Source organism: Homo sapiens, chromosome 8 (genome assembly GCF_000001405.40).
Source record: "Homo sapiens chromosome 8, GRCh38.p14 Primary Assembly".
Lineage (NCBI taxonomy): Eukaryota > Metazoa > Chordata > Mammalia > Primates > Hominidae > Homo > Homo sapiens.
Genome location: NC_000008.11, coordinates 84,898,687 through 84,918,693, shown reverse-complemented (window position 1 = coordinate 84,918,693; position 20,007 = coordinate 84,898,687). Strand labels below are relative to the sequence as shown.

Below are 20,007 nucleotides of genomic sequence, written 5' to 3'. Positions count from 1 at the left end.
GTATGAGAAAAGGCTTGCTGTTGGCTGTAAAGCCTGGGAGAAAGAGGACAAACTATGACATTCATATTGCTTTTTTCTTAAGAAACATAGTCACTTATGGAGCTGATTGTTTTAGTATAATGTAAAACTAATTGTGCTCTCTTTCTCTGAATAGTGGGTAATTTATCTACTGGCTGTTTGGGAGCTTGGAAGCTTTTAAAACAAATTCTCCTGATGATGAATGCTTTTTAAACTCTCAATCTCTCCCATTTCTGAAAAAGAACAAAGAGATCTACTCGGATGGGACTGGATTGTATTGAACCAAGCAATTACTTCTACTTGACAAAGATGAAATGGATAGTATTAATCTACATGGAAGGCACATTTAATTTTAAACTTTATGCATTACTATATTTGAAATAAAAGAGTACAGCAATATATAGAATAAATCCACCTTATTTACACTCTGCCCAGAAAATCATACTTTTAAATAAGTCTTATGACTTCTTCAGTAGCAGGAATGCTTGTTATTTTTGTTCTAATTCAGATTTATAACTAATAAGAACTTAGAGAAATTTACATCATCTGTATTTTTAGGGAGCATATATAAATGCAAATAAGGTGAAAGAAACTGTAGGTAAGACAGGTCACATAACACTTTATAGAAAAGCAAAGTCTTATGAACAGCAATTATACTTGTTGCCACTATGGATCATGTTTCTTGAGTAATCATTCAGCCACTCACACTTTTTATAGACAATGTGAATATATTTGGCTTTCACAAATCCCTCATTCTAAATGAGATACAATTCAATTCAAATTTTTAAGTAACACAGACTAATTCTCAGCACCTACTGTTCATCATAAGTTAAAACTTGTCTTCTGTTAATAAACTCTTAGGAACCAAATTACGTTACATTTTTAGGCTCAAATAATCATATCAAAAAACTGTAATGGAATGAAAACCAAAATGAGTAGTAACTTATTGGAATAACTACCAATGGAGGAAACTGCTCCATTAGGTAGTTCTTGGAGGCTGAATAATCTCTATTCCTGAGTTGATGGCCATTTAGAGTATAGGACAGTGAATCAGAAAACACAGGGGAGAATCATCTGAGATTTTAACTTTAAAAACAAGGCTTAGATGAGTGACATCTAGTATGTAATTTCCCAACAGGGTGACTACAGCCAATAATAATTTACCTGCACATTTTAATATAACTAAAAGAGAATAATTAAATTGTTTGTAACACAAAGGATAAATGCTTGAATGTAAATTGGGCTAACCCTTGACATTGTCTATAGTGATTCTTGGTAAATTGTGACTACACTGGCAAACTGTCTTCTGAACATGCTCACTGCTTTTTTCCCTGTCTCCATTCCACCTTCTCTGTCCTTATTTCCCTGCCCCTCCTAACTGTTCAGTTTTATAACTCAAACCCATTGTTCTGCTCAGTAATTCTCATGTCTTTATCCTATTTTCCATCTGACTCACAATAGTCATGAAATAAAAAAGACCAAGAAACAACAGGGCTTTTTAGCATAGTGGATCACAAATGCCCAAATCAGTGGGTTTTGTTATTTCATACAGAAATGGAAAGATAAAAAGGCTAGGAAAATCAGCCATTTTCTATAGTATCATAGAATTTAAGTTACTGTATATGGTATGCTAAGATGTTTTATTTTCTTTCCTAAAACTGAAGCTAAACATAAAACAATACTATGAAACAATCATAAAAGGAAAAGGAAAAAGGAGGAACTTAATGTTAAAATAAATTTAACTTTGTTTACCAAATCCACAGAAACTTTTCCTATAAGTATTATAAAGTGACTGTCAAACTTTTGCATCATGTTTTACTTTAGTTTATAAGATTGATTTATAGACACAGTATAAAGAGCTTTTGATTTCAAATTGAAAACAATATACTAACATAAATTATAATTAGAACTACCATATTCTTTATGGATATTTGTTTTGGGACATGGCTTACTGTATTAGTCTGTTTTCATGCTACTAATAAAGACATACCTGAGACTGGGTAATTTATAAGGAAAAAGGGTTTAGTGGATTTACAGTTCCACGTGGCTGGGGAAGCCTCACAATCATGGCAGAAGGCAAGGAGGAGGAAGTCACATCTTACATGGATGGCAGCAGGCAAAAAGAGAGAGCCTGTGCAGGGAAACTCCCCCCTATAGCACCATCAGATCTTATGAGACTTATGTACCATCACAAGAACAGCACGGGAAAGATGTGCCCCCATTACGCAATTACCTCCCACCAGAACCCTTCTACAATACTTGGGCATTCAAGATGAGATTTGGGTGGGGACACAGCCAAACCATATGACTTACCATATGTGATTTAAAAAAAAAGAACCCTCTTTTTCAGAGTTAATGATATCATTTTCTATGTCTAATTATGAAGATGTACTTTATAAGATACAAGATATGTGATATAAGATAAATCAATCTTATAAACTAAAGTAAAACATGATGCAAAAGTTTGACAGTCACTTTATAATACTTATAGGAAAAGTTTCTGTGGATTTGGTAAATAAAGTTAAATTTATTTTAACATTAAGTTCCTCCTTTTTCCTTTTCCTTTTATGATTGTTTCATAGTATTGTTTTATGTTTAGCTTCAGTTTTAGGAAAGAAAATAAAACATCTTAGCATACCATATACAGTAACTTAAATTCTATGATACTATAGAAAATGGCTGATTTTCCTAGCCTTTTTATCTTTCCATTTCTGTATGAAATAACAAAACCTACTGTCTTTAATGAAGATGTTAGTGCAGTAATAGTTTTAACATCTAGACACACAGATCATTTGTGTTTCTGGAGTACATTTCATTTAACTGAAATCACAAATAATTTTCTAATAAGATTCTATTTATTTTGGATTCTACAGGAATAATTTTTTTAGTTTGATAAGATGTAATGATGTCAGGAACCATAATGATGTCTTCAGAACTGTAACTCCAGAAGCATCAGAGAATCAGAGTGGTTCAGTGGTGAAGCTGGTGATTAGTATCGTACAGTGATCTTGTCTAATCTTGCAAACAGAGCAGCAGTGTCTTTTACAGTAATCATGGCCAATGAATATGTAGCTGTGTCTTGTCTATCTCAAATGATACAGAACTCTTAAGGCAGCTTGCTCTATTTGTAGATAATCGTGGTTAGAAAAGAATTTGTTACATTGAGTCTAAATCAGCTAAATGACTGAACTATTTATTAATATTAAGCCAAAAATCTAGAGAGTATGACGATCAGTAAGATAGCCAGGCAGAATGTGAGAGGTATTGAAGTGTCAGGGGGTTTTGAGCTATAAATTCAGGTGAGATCTTCTAAGATGGCAAGAGAGAGTAAGGCAGAAAGCAACTCCAGTGGGAGGTGGGTTGGTTTTAGAAACAACATTAAAGACAGCTGAGTTACCTAGCTAAGGCTCCCTTAATTCCCTCCAGATAGACTATGCAGTCTCTATCATTAGAGTATGGAAATGGGTGTTTAGGATCTGGAACTGGGCTAAGCTTGTGGGCATGGGTGACAATCATCATAATGACACTTATTCTTATAGTGGGTGGAAGTTTATAAAAACAGTTTATATGTATATTTTCATTTGGTTTCTATTATAAATCAGTGAGGTAGGTTCTTGGGCAAGAATCATCCTCAGATTGATTATTAGTTCTTATATCAGAGAATGAATGATTTGCCTGTCTGCCCAGACTAGAGCTTTCTCTGATATTCTGTTCTGACCAATTGCGGGAAGAAGCGTTGTAGTGAGGCAGCCTGGGAACACCACTAATTATAGCACAGATAATCTTTATGTGAAAATACATACCCTCATAATTAGTAGGAGATAAGGGATGGAATTAGTGGAAACATACTAGGATTTTTCCATAAACTTCTACCTGCTTTTCCCTGATTTGTAGTAGTTCTGTCTAAATTTTTTTTAAGTTCTGTTTTGAACTAATTAAAAATCATTTTAATTAAGAACGTGCTTTTGGCATTTCTCTGAAAAAGACCTTTTATGTTGTAAAACTACTTTGATTAGGTAAAAAGAACAATTAACTTTATAGTAAAATTATCGTGAGTTACATAATTTTATTTAAAATGTGTAAAAATTTAATTATTCAAAAAATTTAGTCACATTGCTTGGATGTTCTCTTACACATACATTAACATTTCTCTTATTTTATTCCAATTGTACTCTGATACTTTCTGAAGATAATGATGATTGTATTTTGAGTGTTTTGGGATCACTGACAATCATATTTAACTAGTTGCATTGATAGATTATAGTAGTTTTATTTGGCACATAATTTATGTTTGATCATGCATCGATTTTTGATTTTTCATACTAATTATGTAGTGTCTAAAAATCGTTATTTACTCCCAATGCTAGAAATGATAATGATAATTTTAGGATAGTACTCTAAATTGCCTAAGTTAATGCTAGTGCGAAAAGCCAAGTGCTGACTAATGCTAAGATTATGAACTTTGAAATTTTACACATTTGACTGCTTTCCACAGTTCCTTATGGGATTAATTTTAGCACTACAAGTACTACAAGTAGAAATATTTTAAAAATCATTTTATAGCCAACAAAAATGTTATTTGGAATTAATTGCTTTACAGGAATAATTTTAAAAGCCCTTTGAAAACATATAGTTAACTCATAATTATTCTGAATAGCTGGGGGAAAGGTTGTCACGGTTGTTTAACAATTTTCATTTAATTAAATTTACTGTATACACATTCAAAGATTACAATATAATAAAATGACTTCATTTTTAAAATTGCATAAAATTAATCTGACAGTAAGTGAAATAGTATGGTGAAAAAAATACACTATTATCCTATACATAACCCTCCTTTTTTTTAAATCAGTATATTTGGGAAACATAGGTAATTTAAAAAAAACCACTTAAAGCTTTGTAATATTACCAAAACACTTTTAACACTCAAATTATGCTGGATATAATAGAATACTGGATAACTCAGAATTTCAGAGTCTTGTAGTACCTTCTATTTCATGTTTATAAAAGAATTTCCAGAATTATAACAGATGTAGAAGGAATTGGAAATTGGGTTTAATCTGTTTTATGAATGATCATGCCATATCCTCTGCAGGTTACTTTTTGAAATAGATTTCAGATACCAACTCACTTACCTATGTTTTCCTTTATTCATTATATGAGAATATAGAATTTAGAAAAATCGTCAGTTATATGATTATCCTGGTATAGATCAAGATAAATAAAACATTAGAGCATTTTTATTCAATAAATTATTGAAATAATTCAGTAAAAGTTGAATTCTCTCCTAGATTTTTGTGAACAAATCTGTTCCCAAATAAGAAAACAAACTTAATTGGAAGGGCTTTTTCCTTTATAATCAGATTCCTCTAATAAGCCACATGTTATAGACCTGAACAAAAGGTTCTAACATCATCTGTTCATTGGGATTTGACTGGGGTAATCCACAAGACTCATGATGACTAGACTGAACTTTGATAAAGAGGAAGGGCACTGTGTTTGCCTGGCTTTCTTTCTGTTGTATCATCTACACCTGGCATTACTTGCTGAGCAAACAAGGTGTGGTGTTACTTAGTGTATATGTGTATCTATCTATCTATCTATCTATCTATCTATCTATCTATCTATCTATCTACCTACCTATCCATCCATCCATCCATCCATCCATCCATCCATCCATCCATCCATCCATCCTGGGTCTGCACTGTACATCCAAAACTAAATCATTTATACTGTATTTCACAAATGCTCATTTTAATGAAGAGAATCCTGAGACACAAAGAAAGAAAGTCACTTGACCAGGGTCTTACTGAAGGTGATCAAATAAATCCAGCACACAATCACATATTTCTGCACTTACCTGAGGGTCACATTAAATAAATACTTGATTTGAAATCAACATGACAGAATATTGATTCCCCTTGTGTGAAGGTTGGCAATGACATGTTCCCAACAAACCTTCCTCTAAAAACGTGGGTCCTTGGTGGGAGTTACTTTTAGATTTACTTTGGGCACTGGGAACTATTTTGATTAGCAGAGTTTTGGCAAATGAGCGTTAGGAAGCCAATGGCGGCAAGCATCTTTTGCACTGTTTTGGAGATCCTCTTCTGCTAACAATATCAGCAAGTGAAAGAGCACAGGGAATTAGCTTCTGGGTCACAAAGAAGAATTGTGAATATTTACTTGCATATGTGCACATAACTTTAATAAACTTTAAATAAACATTATTGACCTTTTTAAGGGGGTGATGAACAATGCTTTTTTGAAACTGGATTTCTGTATTTTTTTCTTCTACATAATAAGGAATATATATTTTTGGTCTTAGTCTCTGGTTCCTAGCACAGAGCTCCTAAAACCCTTTTAATTTCCTAAATGATAAGGGTGATAGGAGCATCTTTCATTATAATATTTGGTTTTTGTACAGAGCTTCTGGAGTTCTTGTAATTTCTTAAGTGATAGCAGTGTCTTTTGTTATTCATAACAAGCCCTTTGCTCTCACTTGAGTTTATGATGATGAGGTGACTTAGGGCAAGGCCCCTAGATAGTCTCAAGATAGTGTTGGTCTCCAGAAAGACTGAATGACTAGAGGGTTTGAACTTTCAGCCCCACCCACTGACCTCAAGGAAAGTGAGAGGTGCTGGAGCTTAAGTGCTATAAAACTCTTGAACATGAAATTTAATGAGGTTCTCACTTGGTGAAAATAGCCACACGCCAGGAGGAGGGTGCATACCAACTGACTGGGACAGAAGCTCCTGTGCTCAAAACCCTTCCAGACCTTACCTTATGTATCTCTTTATCTGGCTGTTCATCTGTATTGTTTATAATTTTGTTACATAATAAACCAGTAAATATAAGTGAAGTGTTTCCCTGAGTTCTGTGAGCCATCCTAGAAAAATATTGAACACAAGGAGGGGGTACATGGGAACCTTGATTTATAGCCAGTAGGGCAGAGCACAGGTAAAAAGCTGGGACTTGCACTGGTACATGAAATGGGGGAGTGGGAAGGGTGGTCTTGTGGGACTGAGTCCTTAACCTGTGGGTTCGGATGCTATCTCCAGATAGATACTGTGAACTGAATCAACTATAGGACACCCAGTTGGTATCCACTGGAGAATAGCTTGCTTTGTGGGGAAACCCCTCTACCACCACATTTGGTCATAGAAGTGTTCTGTGTTGTGAGAATACAATAGAAGATATCAGTATATTTTTCACCAAATCTTCTTATCTCTATGCTCTATCAATAGCTGCATACTTATAAAGTATTAATAATAGCAAATAGCCATTGAATATTTCAATGTAATTGACTCATGGATTGGATCTGTTTGGGTTATGAAAAGATATAACCAGTTTTATTACTTATATAGAAAATACCATATCTTGCATAGGAATAAAAAATTAGTGATATGGCTGAATCTTTCAAAAGCATATTCTAGTCAATGGATAGTTGCTAGTTGAACTTTCTTGTGGGGAGAGAAGGAAATTAAGCCTCAGATTTCCTATTCTGCAATGGATAGTTGCTAGTTGAACTTTCTGGTGGGGAGAAAAGGAAATTAAGCCTCAGATTTCCTATTCTGCCATCTTGCTCACGTCATTCTTTTTGGCTAAATTTTTCAATCTAATATATCAATACTTCCAGATATAGTTACTCTCTTTAAGTTGATAGAAACAACTCAAAGAAAAATCTATTTGTTGCTTAGTATCAGTAAATAATGGAGATCAAACATGCCCATGAATATCAGAAAATGAAATATATCTTAAATTTTGAAATCATTTAAAATTCTGGGTAAAGTTTTAGAATAATTGGGCCTTATCTCAAAGTTATTAGTTTTCATATAAATATACAATTTCAGGTGATTTAAATTTATATTATTAATATTATTTTTCCTATAGCAAAGGTAAATGATTTAAAAAAACAGATGATATTTTATATTTTACAGGAACAAAGATTGATTCTCTGGCACACAGGTAAGTTTCAGAGGACTGAAGTGCAATCAGTACTGAGGTGAGAAGCTATGCACATGATTATATAAAGAGCATTTTCAAGTGCTTTTTAGATGTAATTGATTTTTATGTAGAATTCATACTTATCTCTTATATATATTTTTACTTTATAAACTTTTTAGCCCTTAACATCATCATTGATGGTAACAGATTTTTTGTTTTGAGATTTGAAAGCTGTCTCATTTAGACATAATAACATATGACACCTATCAGCGTAATTAATTATGAAATGTTTATGTGACTGTCTGTATTTTAGGTACCCCTGTTGATATTAGATCATGTATTTTAAGCATTTAACATCTTATAGCCCAAGACTTTGATAGTATGACTAACAGAGTAGAAGAAGTAGATCTTTCTCTGACATCTTTTTCTTCATTTCCAGTTTTCATTTGAAAAAAATATCTAATTTTTCCATGGTGGCAGTACAAATAGAACCATGCCATGTTTAGAATGTACATATGGAAATTCATACACCATCCTGCTTCATGTTTGATTGTAATTGCAAGTGTCATGAAAAATGTTTTTCTCTTGATCCAAAGCATTGTGTAGGTGTGCTAAGGGGGCATGTTATAACTGGCATACCCTGGATGCCTCTCTACTGTGACACAGCCTCTTCCTCTGTCCATCCTTTTCTGAACCTCATTTGTTATTAAAATCTAATTAGCTATTGTTTGAAACAAAGTATGAGTGTCTGATTCTTTAGGTTAAAGTGGGAGATGAGGACCTGTTAGTTAATTGTTAGAGAACACCAAACTGAAATTTTCTCCTTAATATACCTGGGTTCTTTAAATAGTTTTGTCACTGCTTTTTCCTTGGCAGTAAGACTTTGAGGCTTAACTTATTTAGTTAAAAACTTACATGCACTGAGGGCTTACTATATGTCAAGCCCCCTTTTAAGTACTTTAAATATTTTTTTCCATTTAATATTCACACCAGCACCATGAGGGAAGTGCCATCCTTATACTCATATTATAGATTAAAAAACTGAGGCACAGAGAGGTAAGTCATTTGCTCAAGTCACGTAAGTCTTCATATTTGGCTGTAACTAACCCAGTGCTTTGTTCATACAGCCTTTATTTCTTACCATTGTGTGTCATACACTCTCTCCTATTTACAGCAATTTAGATCATGCCTAAGCTCTCAACATCATTGTTACCCAAATAGTAATACTATTATATTTAGCAGCTAATGCTCAACCAGTTCTGTGTTATATAAATAGAAGGTTTATTCAAAATTATTTGTATCTATTTCAGTATTTTTGTGTTAATTTCTTCCTATTCCCTTTGGACAAAACCTATGGTATTAATTAGGAATGTTGAGACCTTACATCCTTTGAAAGGCAATAACAGGCTTGTAAAGAGATATTTATTGAACTATCTCAGGAACATTTGGGCACTAGCCTGGCAGCTTCTCTACAATCAACTTGCTCTATAGAAACAAATGTGTATACAGTATTTATGACTTTAAGTGTTCTTTTCATTGTGTGTGTCATAAGCTTTCCTTGTTAAAAATGAGGACATTTGAGAAGGCAATATCCTATTTTGATGGAAATCATTAGACATGTCACAGACAGAGCCCAGGTGAGGGCATCCATGTTGTCAGCAGTGGCTAGTGACCTAGAGGGCCATCTGCCTGCTGAGATCCTCAGGGATTTGGAATACATGGCATGGAAATGCTGTCTCACTTTTAACAATTGTGAGGTATCAAACTCTGTAAAATGTGGGGTACTTTTCCAATGTGATATAACAAGTCGATCTGCATGCAGAGTTTCTTCCAACTTCAAGTAGAAAGTTGCGCAAAAAAAAAAAAAAGTGCTGGAGGGTGACATCCAGTCAGAATATCATTCAGTGACATCAACTTGTCAAGCACGAAATGCAGATCAGCAGGATTGAGCTCTGCATTTCCCGGGGGTTTTGGGGAGATGCACAAACTGCTAGGGCTGCCCAATATATTGTTATATGGGAAGATTCATTAAAAATATTGACTCATAGTGAAAGGATATCTGCATTCTCATATTTATTGTGGCATTATTCACAATAGTCAAGCTGTAGCATCTACCTGAGTTTCTAACAATGGGTGAATGGATAAAGAAAATGTGGCATATATACACAATGGAATACTATTCAGCCTTAAGAAAAGAAGGAAGGACTGGCTTTTATAACACCATGGATAAGCCTGGAGGACATTACGTTAAATGAAATAAGCCAGGCACAGAAAGACAAATACTGCATGTTCTCACTTCTATGTGGAATCTAAAACAGAGGTAGGAAGCAGAGAGTAGAATGGTGGTTACGAGAAACAGGGAGGTGAGGGAAATGTGGAGATGTCTGTCAAAGAGTACAAGATTTCAGTTAGAGAGGAGGAGTAAGTTTTTTGAGATCTATTGCACAGTATGGTGACTATAGTTAATAACAGTGCAATGTATATTTCGAAATTGCTAAGATAGTAAATTTCAAATGTTCTCATCACAAAAATTGATAAGTATTTGGGGTGATGAATATGTTAATTAGCTTTATTTAATCATTCTACATATGTGTACATACACTATAACATCACTTTGTACCCCTTAAATATATGCAATTATAATTTATCAATATACAATAAAATATAAACATTGACTCATGTAGTGAGAACACTGCTCTTCCAGTTCTTTGGATTGCATTAATGAGAAAGTTTATGTTTGTGTCAGTCTTAACATTTCTCTAGTACTGTCTATTCTTTTTAATGGGAGAAAGAGAGATTGAGAGAGAAACAGGAGAGGACAGCAGGAACACAGGGTTTTTTGGTCACAAATATCAAGGTTTTTTTTTAAATTTTGTCCTTTCATTATATTTATTTTAAATATTTCTCCAACTTATGAAAAGAGATGCTTGGTTTTTCATTTATTAGAGTGAACTAAAGTTTAGTGTAAAAGATACATTTATTTTAAATAATGAGGTAATTTAATAAGTAAGTAAAAAATAGTACCACTGATGCATAGATTTGGCACAAACCAAAAGGGTACTATACATATCAAAATTAATAAAATTTGTGGAAACCCTAATACAATGAAAATATCTAAGGGTGTTAGAATCTTACGGACCCTGACTGCAGGTTGATTCTGCCTCTTATGAGCAGTGTGAGCTTGGGGAAGTTACTTAATCTTTCTAAAATCAGTTATTTGTGAAATAGCTACTCCTCGAAGTTATTTTAGGCAGTAATGACAAGACATATATAAAAAACTCAGCATTGTTCCTGGAAGGTAGTGAAAATGGAAACAGTATTGTTTTCTTTCCGTTTCTTCCTGACTTGGAATAAAATAAAAATCCTCTCAGTTTTTCACTGTGTGTGTGTGTGTGTGTGTGTGTGTGTGTGTGTGTGTGTGACGCTATATCTTATTTTCTCAGATTTCTGCCTTTTTAAAGATAAGCTGTTTTCCACATTTTTGAAACAACTAAGGCCCAAAGTGATTCCAGAACTTGTTCAATTCACACAGCTTTAAATAGCAGGGGTAGGTATTATTTCCAGTAGACTACAGGCTAGGAAGGTTTACTTTTAGGAAATGTTACTTAATATTATTAAAATGTATTCCTAAAACTGTGGCAAGGCAGAAAATATCAAATATGCATAAGGTTTCCGGGATACTTATCAGATTCCAGGTGAAAAGAATTCTTACCAGCTTTCCAAAGGCCTGAACTTTCATTTCATCTCAGGCTATCCTGGAGCAGGCAACCCCGGAGCTTGTGATTTTCCATATTCAGAGACATTCTAAAGACAGCGAAGGTTTAGAAGGGAAGATCCTTAGGCAGGGCAAGGCTGATAGTGCAGCATGGTTGTGCCGGTGAGAGACTTAATGAGGGGAGAACCAGCTGGGCACAGTCCTGGCTGGTGGGTGACAAAGGTGCACCATGCAAGGGACTGAGCTAGAGGATGCCTCTTTGCAACTTGAATGCTATCTGGATAAAATCTTTGTGCCAGTCCATGAAAATGTACTTTTTTTTTTTTTAATCAATTAACTTCCAGAATATGGGGCAAGAATTGTAAAAGGTCAGCAACATTTTGGCAATAAATCTCTTTTCCATTGTGATTTTGTCTGTTGAGGTATGAAAAAAGTTGGGGAAGAAAAGTGCCCCACTTTCTTTTCTTTCAATTTCAGATTAAATGAAATGTGTTCATACCTGTTGCCATTTCTTTTGTCACAGATTATTAGATTCAGTGTAGCTTGAGCAGGTATACCATTAGTTTCCAGAAATACTGCTGTTAATGACTTTCTTAGCTTGTTCAAGTACAAATTTCTTGCCCTGGTATTTATCAAATGAACATTGTCTTTTGTCTATTCATTTATTTTTATTCTGTTTTTAGAGTTTTTACAGCTCATCATACTCAATATTTTAAAAAATAGCTAGAAAAAAATCATTAAAGTCCTGTGCCTGTGAAACACTGGGAAATGAATCAATTATATTTGTATTTGGAGCATTAAAAAATAAACTTGAAAAGAATTTCTAGCTATTTGGCAGATAAAATACTTAGGCCACAGAAGTTCAACAACCTCTGGAAAAGGCAGTGAGAGGTCAGCATTTACAGTTAATTACCTTTTCCCAGAAAAGTCTATTAATCTATTCAATAAATACAATGTAGGGGAATTGGCTTGTGTAATATGTATACACTTTAACACTTTACTTCAATGAATTGCTGGATGTTTCTAAGAAATAAATAGCTTCTGGTATTTCTGTGTAGAATATTTTACGTATTCAAAACATTTTAGGTTTGGAATGTAAAAAAACACACAACTAAAGGTTCCAGTGTTCTTATAGATTGTAGGAAACAGGAGTATTACTATCATGTAGCTCTGGAAGAAAGAAATGAGGATAATTAAAAAAAATAGTATGCATAATTGCTTGAACCCGGGAGGCAGAGGTTGCAGTGAGCTGAGATTGCACCATTGCACTCCATCCTGGGCGACAGAGCAAGACTCTGTCTCAAAAAAAAAAAAAATAGTATTCATATAATGGTAGTGCCAGAAAATTCAAGGAATAGAACATTGTTGTGTCAGGAATCCAAAAATTCATTGTTTAATAGGATAAAGAGAATTACTTTTATGTGTATTCTTAGAATACAAAGATAAGTGGAGAAATTGGAATGCTTGCACACTGTTGGTGGGAATGCAATATAATGCAGCCACTCTGGAAAACAGTATGGAGGTCCCCCTCTCCCCAAATAAAAAGGGAACTATCAGATGACCCAGCAATCCCACTACTGTGTGTTTATCCAAAGAAATTGAAATTAGGATCTCAAAGAGTTATGTGTACTCTTACACTCATTACAGCACTATTCAAAATCACCAAGATGTGGAAATAACCTAAATGTCCACTGACGGATGGATTTTGTAAAGTGTGGTATATACATTCAAGGAAATATTATTTAGCCTTAAAAAAGAAGGAAAATCTGTAATGTGTAACAACATGGATGAACCTTGAGGAGATTATGCTGAGTGACAGTAAGACAAATACTGTGTGATTTCACTTATATGAGGTATCTAAAATAGTCAAATTTGTAGAATCAAAGAGTGAAATGGTAGTTACCAGGGGGCAGAGAGAAATGAAGGTGTTGCTAATAAGTGGGCATAAAGTTTCAGTTAAGCAAGATGAATAAATTCTAGAGATCTGCTGTACAACATTGCATAGTCAACAATACTGTATCGTACCCTTAAAATGTTTTAAAGATGGTAGATCTCATGTTAAGTGTTCTTCCATTCAGTCTCTCTTCACTGGCAGACAATTCTCCCATTTAAAAACTAAACAGTTAAGTCATAAGAAAATTGGGTGGAATATGCACCTAACATGCCACAGTGAACAGAGGCAACATAGAAACCAGAAAGGGAATAAAAAAAAAGTGTGGTTAAAATTTTATGAGTCTAAATGATATTTCCATGGTTACAGTGCCATTTTTTAGGATTACTTTTAACCAATGCAATTTGTAGAGTCTTTACATTTTCCCATAAACTGGAGGTAATTCTAGTTAAAATGATACTTTAAAAGTCAAATGAAGCAACTCTACAATCACTAGACAACCCGTGAACTATTTCTTTCTCATGAGTGGCTAACAGAAAATGGAAATAGTTTTGAATATATGTAATAGGTTTGGTTAAGCATACTCATAAGCATGTGTTCACATATTTTGAAATTATTTTCTTATAGAAATAAAATTCTTTTGGTTCTCTTATATTTACATTATTTGCTCAAATTACATTTTACCTCTTACAAAAATTGTGTAAATATTGGCATTAAAAATCACATTGTTTTAATACTAGTTTCCTTAAACCTAGAAATTTAGAAAGCACAGGTCAATTAGCGATGGTTAACAAAATTTACCTTGTGCTCATATTTCTACCTTATCTTGATAAGTCCTCTATTTACAATATCTATCATATCATCTATTTTTTTCAGTGAATTACAAATAGACCTTTTAATGGACAAGTCTGAATTTAAATAACAATGAGGCGTAACAATGGGCACTGAAGTAAAAATGAATTTAATACTCCAGTCATACTCCACTGTATTAGTTTTATAGAATGTGTTCAGGTTGAATAGTATATTTTAGAATGTGAATCTTGGATATGTTTTAGAATATAATCTGCGATTTGAGAATGAAGCGGCCTGCCTGCAACCCTTTCTCCCCAAAAGAGGTTTTTTTCTTTCTTATTCACTTCCTTTTACTCAGCCCTTACAATGGTGCCTGAGTACAGTAATCATTTAATAAGTATTTGCTGGCTGAGTGAATAAAAATGGCATTAAGGGCAAAACACATATCTAGACTAATTATTATTCTGTTGCATAAAACTCTTAATGTCACTAAGATGATTTTTCCAATAGCTTTTGCCCTTTGGAATTTGGGAATAATTTACAAGACGGGAAAGACTTGTTTGCCTCTCAGAATCTTAGAAGAGTTTATTGATTTAATAAATTTGGCTTGGCATCATAGAACTATAATACGGGTTTGGCCCACCCTACACAAAAATAGGCATTCTGGGCAAACTACGTGCAAGGCTATTTAAGAACCCTATGTTACTGATATTAGTATGTAGCATCTTACTCATCCTTATAGAACAATGGGAGTTACCTCCTGGGCAGGCAGAAGATGCCACTTCTCCCCCATAGAACTCCCTCATATGTGTGTGTGTTCAGTCACCTGCCTGTGAGTGGTCTAGTCTGTCTCTCTGTGTTTAGGGCAATGTGAGGAGACTAAGGTACCAAAGGGTGAAGGTTAGGGTTGGGGATGGGGTGGGATTCAAAAGACCAAAATACAAAGATCTAGAATTTGTGGTCAGATTTTGTATGGCTAAATAATGACAAACCCTTCTCTTTAAATAAGATAATTATGTATCAACTGTTTTATCTTGATTAGTTCCTTTCTTCTTAGTATTCCCATATAAATGAAAATAACTTCTTTCAAATTTGAGATCACTGCAACTTTTCTCAGCAATTTCAAATGATTTGGTGTTACACTATACCCCAGCTCAACAGAGAATTCCTCAAAAGAGTGTCTTGATGTGAGATACAAGATTACTAATAAAATATTCTAGACTTTTAAGACATAAAAGTTACAAGGGGTATGCATAAACACCATAACCAAGTCGTTAAAAAAAATAAGAGTCTCACTGTGTTGCCCAGGCTGGTCTCAAACTCCTAGGCCCAAGTGATCCTCCTACTTTGGACTCCCAAAGTATTGGATTACAGGCATGAGCCACCAAATCATTTTAATTTTTTTCTTTCAATGTTACTAAAACTTCCTATAATTGGCATGTCCACTAAATTTTGTTACTTGAGGAAAATATTAAGTTTGACATACAAAATCCCATAGCAGGGATTTTCATAAACATGATCCTATTTAATCTTTTCAATAACCCAAAAAAACTTCCTTTAACAGATATGGAAGTGAGCCTCAGAGACTCAGTGATTTGGCTTGTCCATCTGAACCTGAAACCCAAATAACTGAATCGATAAATGTATATCTGCACTTTGTAAGGGCAAATGGAAACGATTTTCTCCATTATAAAAGGCAAAGACACTGACTTCCCGTTTCCCCATTTTTAGAGTGTCTATTTGGAGGCCTGGTGAATCTGTGTCCTTCCTCCTACCTTTGACATCAAAATAAATTTTATTAGGGATTAAGCCCATTCTCCAATGATTACAGTGTAGACATATGATATAGCTTGAATATGTGTTCCCCGTCCAAATCTCATGTTGAATTGTAATCCCCAGTAATGGAGGTGGGATCTGGTGGGAGATGATTGGATCATGAGGGAGGATTTCTCATGAATGGTTTAGCACCATCCTCTTGGTGCTGTTCTCACAATGGTGAGTGACTTCTTGTGAGATCTGTCTGTTTGAAAGTGTGTGGCACCTAGCTTTCTCTCTTGCTCCTGCTCTGGTCATGTGACCTGCCTACTCCTGCTGCATCTTCTGCCATGATTATACTTCCGGGGCCTCCTCGGAAGCTGAGGAGATGCCAGCATCATGCTCCCTGTACAGCCTGCAGAACTGTGAGCCAGTTACACCTCTTTTCTTTGTAAGTTACCGAGTCTTAGGTATTTCTTTATAGCAATGTGAGGATGGCCTAACACATCTCCAAGATTGTGAGTCAAATAACCTCTGGATATGTGATGATGTTGAATTTTATGTGAGCCTCATTAAGATAGTTAAGAAACCCTTTGTTCTGGGAAATGGCTTATTGCAAAGAACCACCCTTCTCCAGTTGATTTAGATAAGACTCACACCTGCTTATTTACCTATGCTAAGGCCAGACATAGATCCTCCAAATTCCCACTCTTGCCCTCATTCATGACTAACTGAACTATTTTGTCTCCATTGGTCAATGAGAACAAAATGCTTATTAATCAAATAAGAGTCTCTCCTTCTCCCAGGACCCCAAACTTCAGTCCATCCTCAGCCTGAGCCAGGATCCATCCCCTCTTTAAGGGCCCTCCTGGAAAATATGCTGGCTTCAGGGTAAAACATCCTCTGATATATTTACTTAGTATGCCAGTCTTTCATCCCACTTCTCCACCCTGGGTTCTTTCTAATCTTGTTTACTCCTCTCATAAAAGAAAAACCCTTCTTGCCTAGTACTTGAGATGCTTGCGGATCTCATGGCCAAAGCATTCTCCCTATTGCAGTAGTCCCTCTCCCGCCTTGCAATAGCCCTTTCAAATAAGTCTCTCATTACTAAGTCTTGATTTGTTTTTTACTTGACAAATGTAAAAATGTAGCTCTGGAATTACCTCTGAGATCTCTTAAGAGTTGTTCAGAAAACTGTCATGAGGTACGATTTTTTGTCTTTTGAGGAAATAATTGTCCTTTCTTCTGTTTGGCCAAATAAAATGTGTGAGATTTTGTCCTGATGACCAAGAGGGCTTGACAAAACTTTAGACGGAGTTTTTCCTGACTATAGGCTCCTGACCTCCCTTTTCTTAGAGCATTTACTTTAGAAAAATTGTATTTGTAAATTTTTCCTCTGCCCCTTGGAGATATAAATCTTCCCCCAGCTTCTTGCCAGTTGTATAAACCCAGGAATATATTTCTTAAGGACCTGGAATCATTCCTTTGAACTGTAATCATTAAGTAAGAAGCAACCTCTATCTCTCAGTCTCTGTGGGAGGTGTAAACCTAACTTAGATAAGCAGCAATTAGCAAACACAGATGGCCTAATTACACTGACCCACCTTCCTCTACCATCCTCCAGTACTTTTCCACTAGTTACCCCAGTGCTTAAAATCTCTCCTGCCTGTTTCAGCAGAGCTGAGTTCAATCTCTCTCTTACTACAATAGTCTTGATTTCTGTTGAAACAGTCTTAAATCTTCCTTGCTTTTTTAACTTCATCCATTGCTATTTTTGCTATGACACTAACATTGTGGTCACTTTGGTGCTACCTTACATGCTTGTAAATTTGTTACTGCTTATGCAATTAAAAAATTTTGTTTTCCTACTATATTGATAGGGAGAATTTTTTTTTTTTTAAGACAAACTTTCGCTCTTGTTGCCCAGGCTGGAGTACAGTGGTGCAATCTTGGCTCACCACAACCTCTGCCTCCCGGGTTCAAGCCATTCTCCTGCCTCAACCTCCCAGGTAGCTGGAATTACAGGCATGTGCCACCATGATTGGCTAATTTTTTTCTATTTTTCATAGAGACAGGGTTTCTCCATGTTGGTCAGGCTGGTCTTGAACTCCCAACCTCAGGTGATCTGCCTGCCTCGGCCTTCCAAAGTGTTGGAATTACAGACGTGAGCCACCGCACCCAGCCGGGAGAGGTCTTTTTGTTGGCAGAATTGTTTTGTTTTTCTAACTACTTTCATAATTAGCTTTTTGAAATCTCACAGAATTAAGACTTTAGATTTCTCCATTTTCCTCTAACACATTATAGCATTTTTAGAAAAGTAACTATTTTTTCCTATTTTTGTATATTTAAAGCTTATTTTTAAGCTGCTTCTCATTTCCAAAGGACTCCAGAATCTTTCTGTTCTCTTCCCCCTGTGTTATCCTCTGTATAGAAACTCAGAAATGGTGAAAATATTTATACTCTAGATTTGTTATTTGGCTTTTAACATCATGAGAGGCTGTTTGAAAATTGTGTATCTACCACAATACTCTTAACATCTCAAAAATCCTTAGAACTAAAGCTTGTTTTTTAATGATCACGTTGTTTGATAGCTGCACTGATAGCTGCAGTTGAAATCACAGCATCTATCTTACTTATCTGGGCATACTTTAGTTTGGAATCCTCTGAAATTTACTTTCTTATGAACTTGTGACTCTTTTCTTTTGGCTTTAAAAATTGTAGATCAGGAGTGAGAGGAAGTCTTATTTTCTGGTTTGTTTTATAAGTCAGCATTCTAGCTTTGCTAACTAAATTCAGGTTACTTCAAATTTGCATTTCTATCACTCGTGGGAGACAATATTTCAGAACCACTGAAAACCAACACGATAGAGTCAATACTGCTGTGTTGACTTTGATGTGTTGGTTTTAAGCCTCCTTCTGTTGTTCCTCCTCAGTGCCTTCAAGACTCAGGCTGCTGCCTGAATGACCTAGTGATTAAGCTATAATGAAAACTGTTTGCTTCCATTCTTTGTATAATAATCCTCAAAATCACAGAGGGGATGCACACAAAAGTAATACTTAGAACACAATCTGATTATGACAGACAATAAAAATGCACTTAAAATGCTCATAATATGTTTGAGGTAGTCTGAGGACATTTTCCTCTCTCTTTCTTTAACAGATATTTATGAACATTAACATATGCTAAGCACTACACTGAGGAAAAATACAAAGTGAAATAACCCCCGAGAAATGTACAAATCAGTGATCCAGAAAGAAGGAAAATCATTAATTACAATATAGTAAGTTAAGTGTGAGGAGCTATGTACAAAGCATGGCCTAAAGAAAGAAGCAAATCCAAATGGATGTGTCCTTGTTGGGGGACAGATTTATGGAATGGGTGACACAGAATGATGATCTTTAAGAGAGGAGATGTTTTTGCCAGACAGACAAAATAAAAGGTAGAATGGGTTATTCCAGGCAGAGGGAACAGCATATGTAAATGCATGGAGTCATGACACGGTGTGTCAAAATCATCAGGTAACCCAACATCCCTCAGTCTACTCACTCATCCATCCCCATACAAATGCTAGATACTGTGCTATGCGTGAGGGATCCACAAAGAAAAAAGAACACCCTGGCTCAAACGGTTTTAAATCTAGTTGAAGAGAAAGGCATTTTAAAAAGTGGTAGCAGCACTGAAGGAAGTGTCCTAACAGAGGTTTGCAGGAGTTGTGGAGGATGTGCCTGAGTAACTTGAAATTTCAGGAAGGTTTCCAGATAAAACCGAGTAGTGAAATAAAAGTGGGTGTTCACCAGGATCAGGTACGGAATGACATTTCAGGAAAGTCAATCCCTGACCCTCACCCTTACCCTTCAGGCAACCTCTGTCTGTTTAATTGCAATGATACAC

General features: G+C 35.1%; 1 protein-coding gene across 56 annotated transcripts in view; it reads right to left on the bottom strand.

Annotated features, from left to right (window-relative positions):
- RALYL (RALY RNA binding protein like) overlaps nt 1-20,007 on the bottom strand; it is a 739,058-nt gene that overhangs the window by 3,151 nt on the left and 715,900 nt on the right. The window contains exon 9 of one of the 56 annotated variants that reach the window (NM_001413309.1): nt 11,675-11,766. The exons of the other annotated variants lie outside the window; for them this stretch is intronic. Coding sequence (NP_001400238.1) covers nt 11,713-11,766 — 54 coding nt within the window. The 3' untranslated portion in view covers nt 11,675-11,712. The remainder of the gene's footprint in view (nt 1-11,674; nt 11,767-20,007) is intronic. 56 annotated transcript variants of the gene reach the window in all.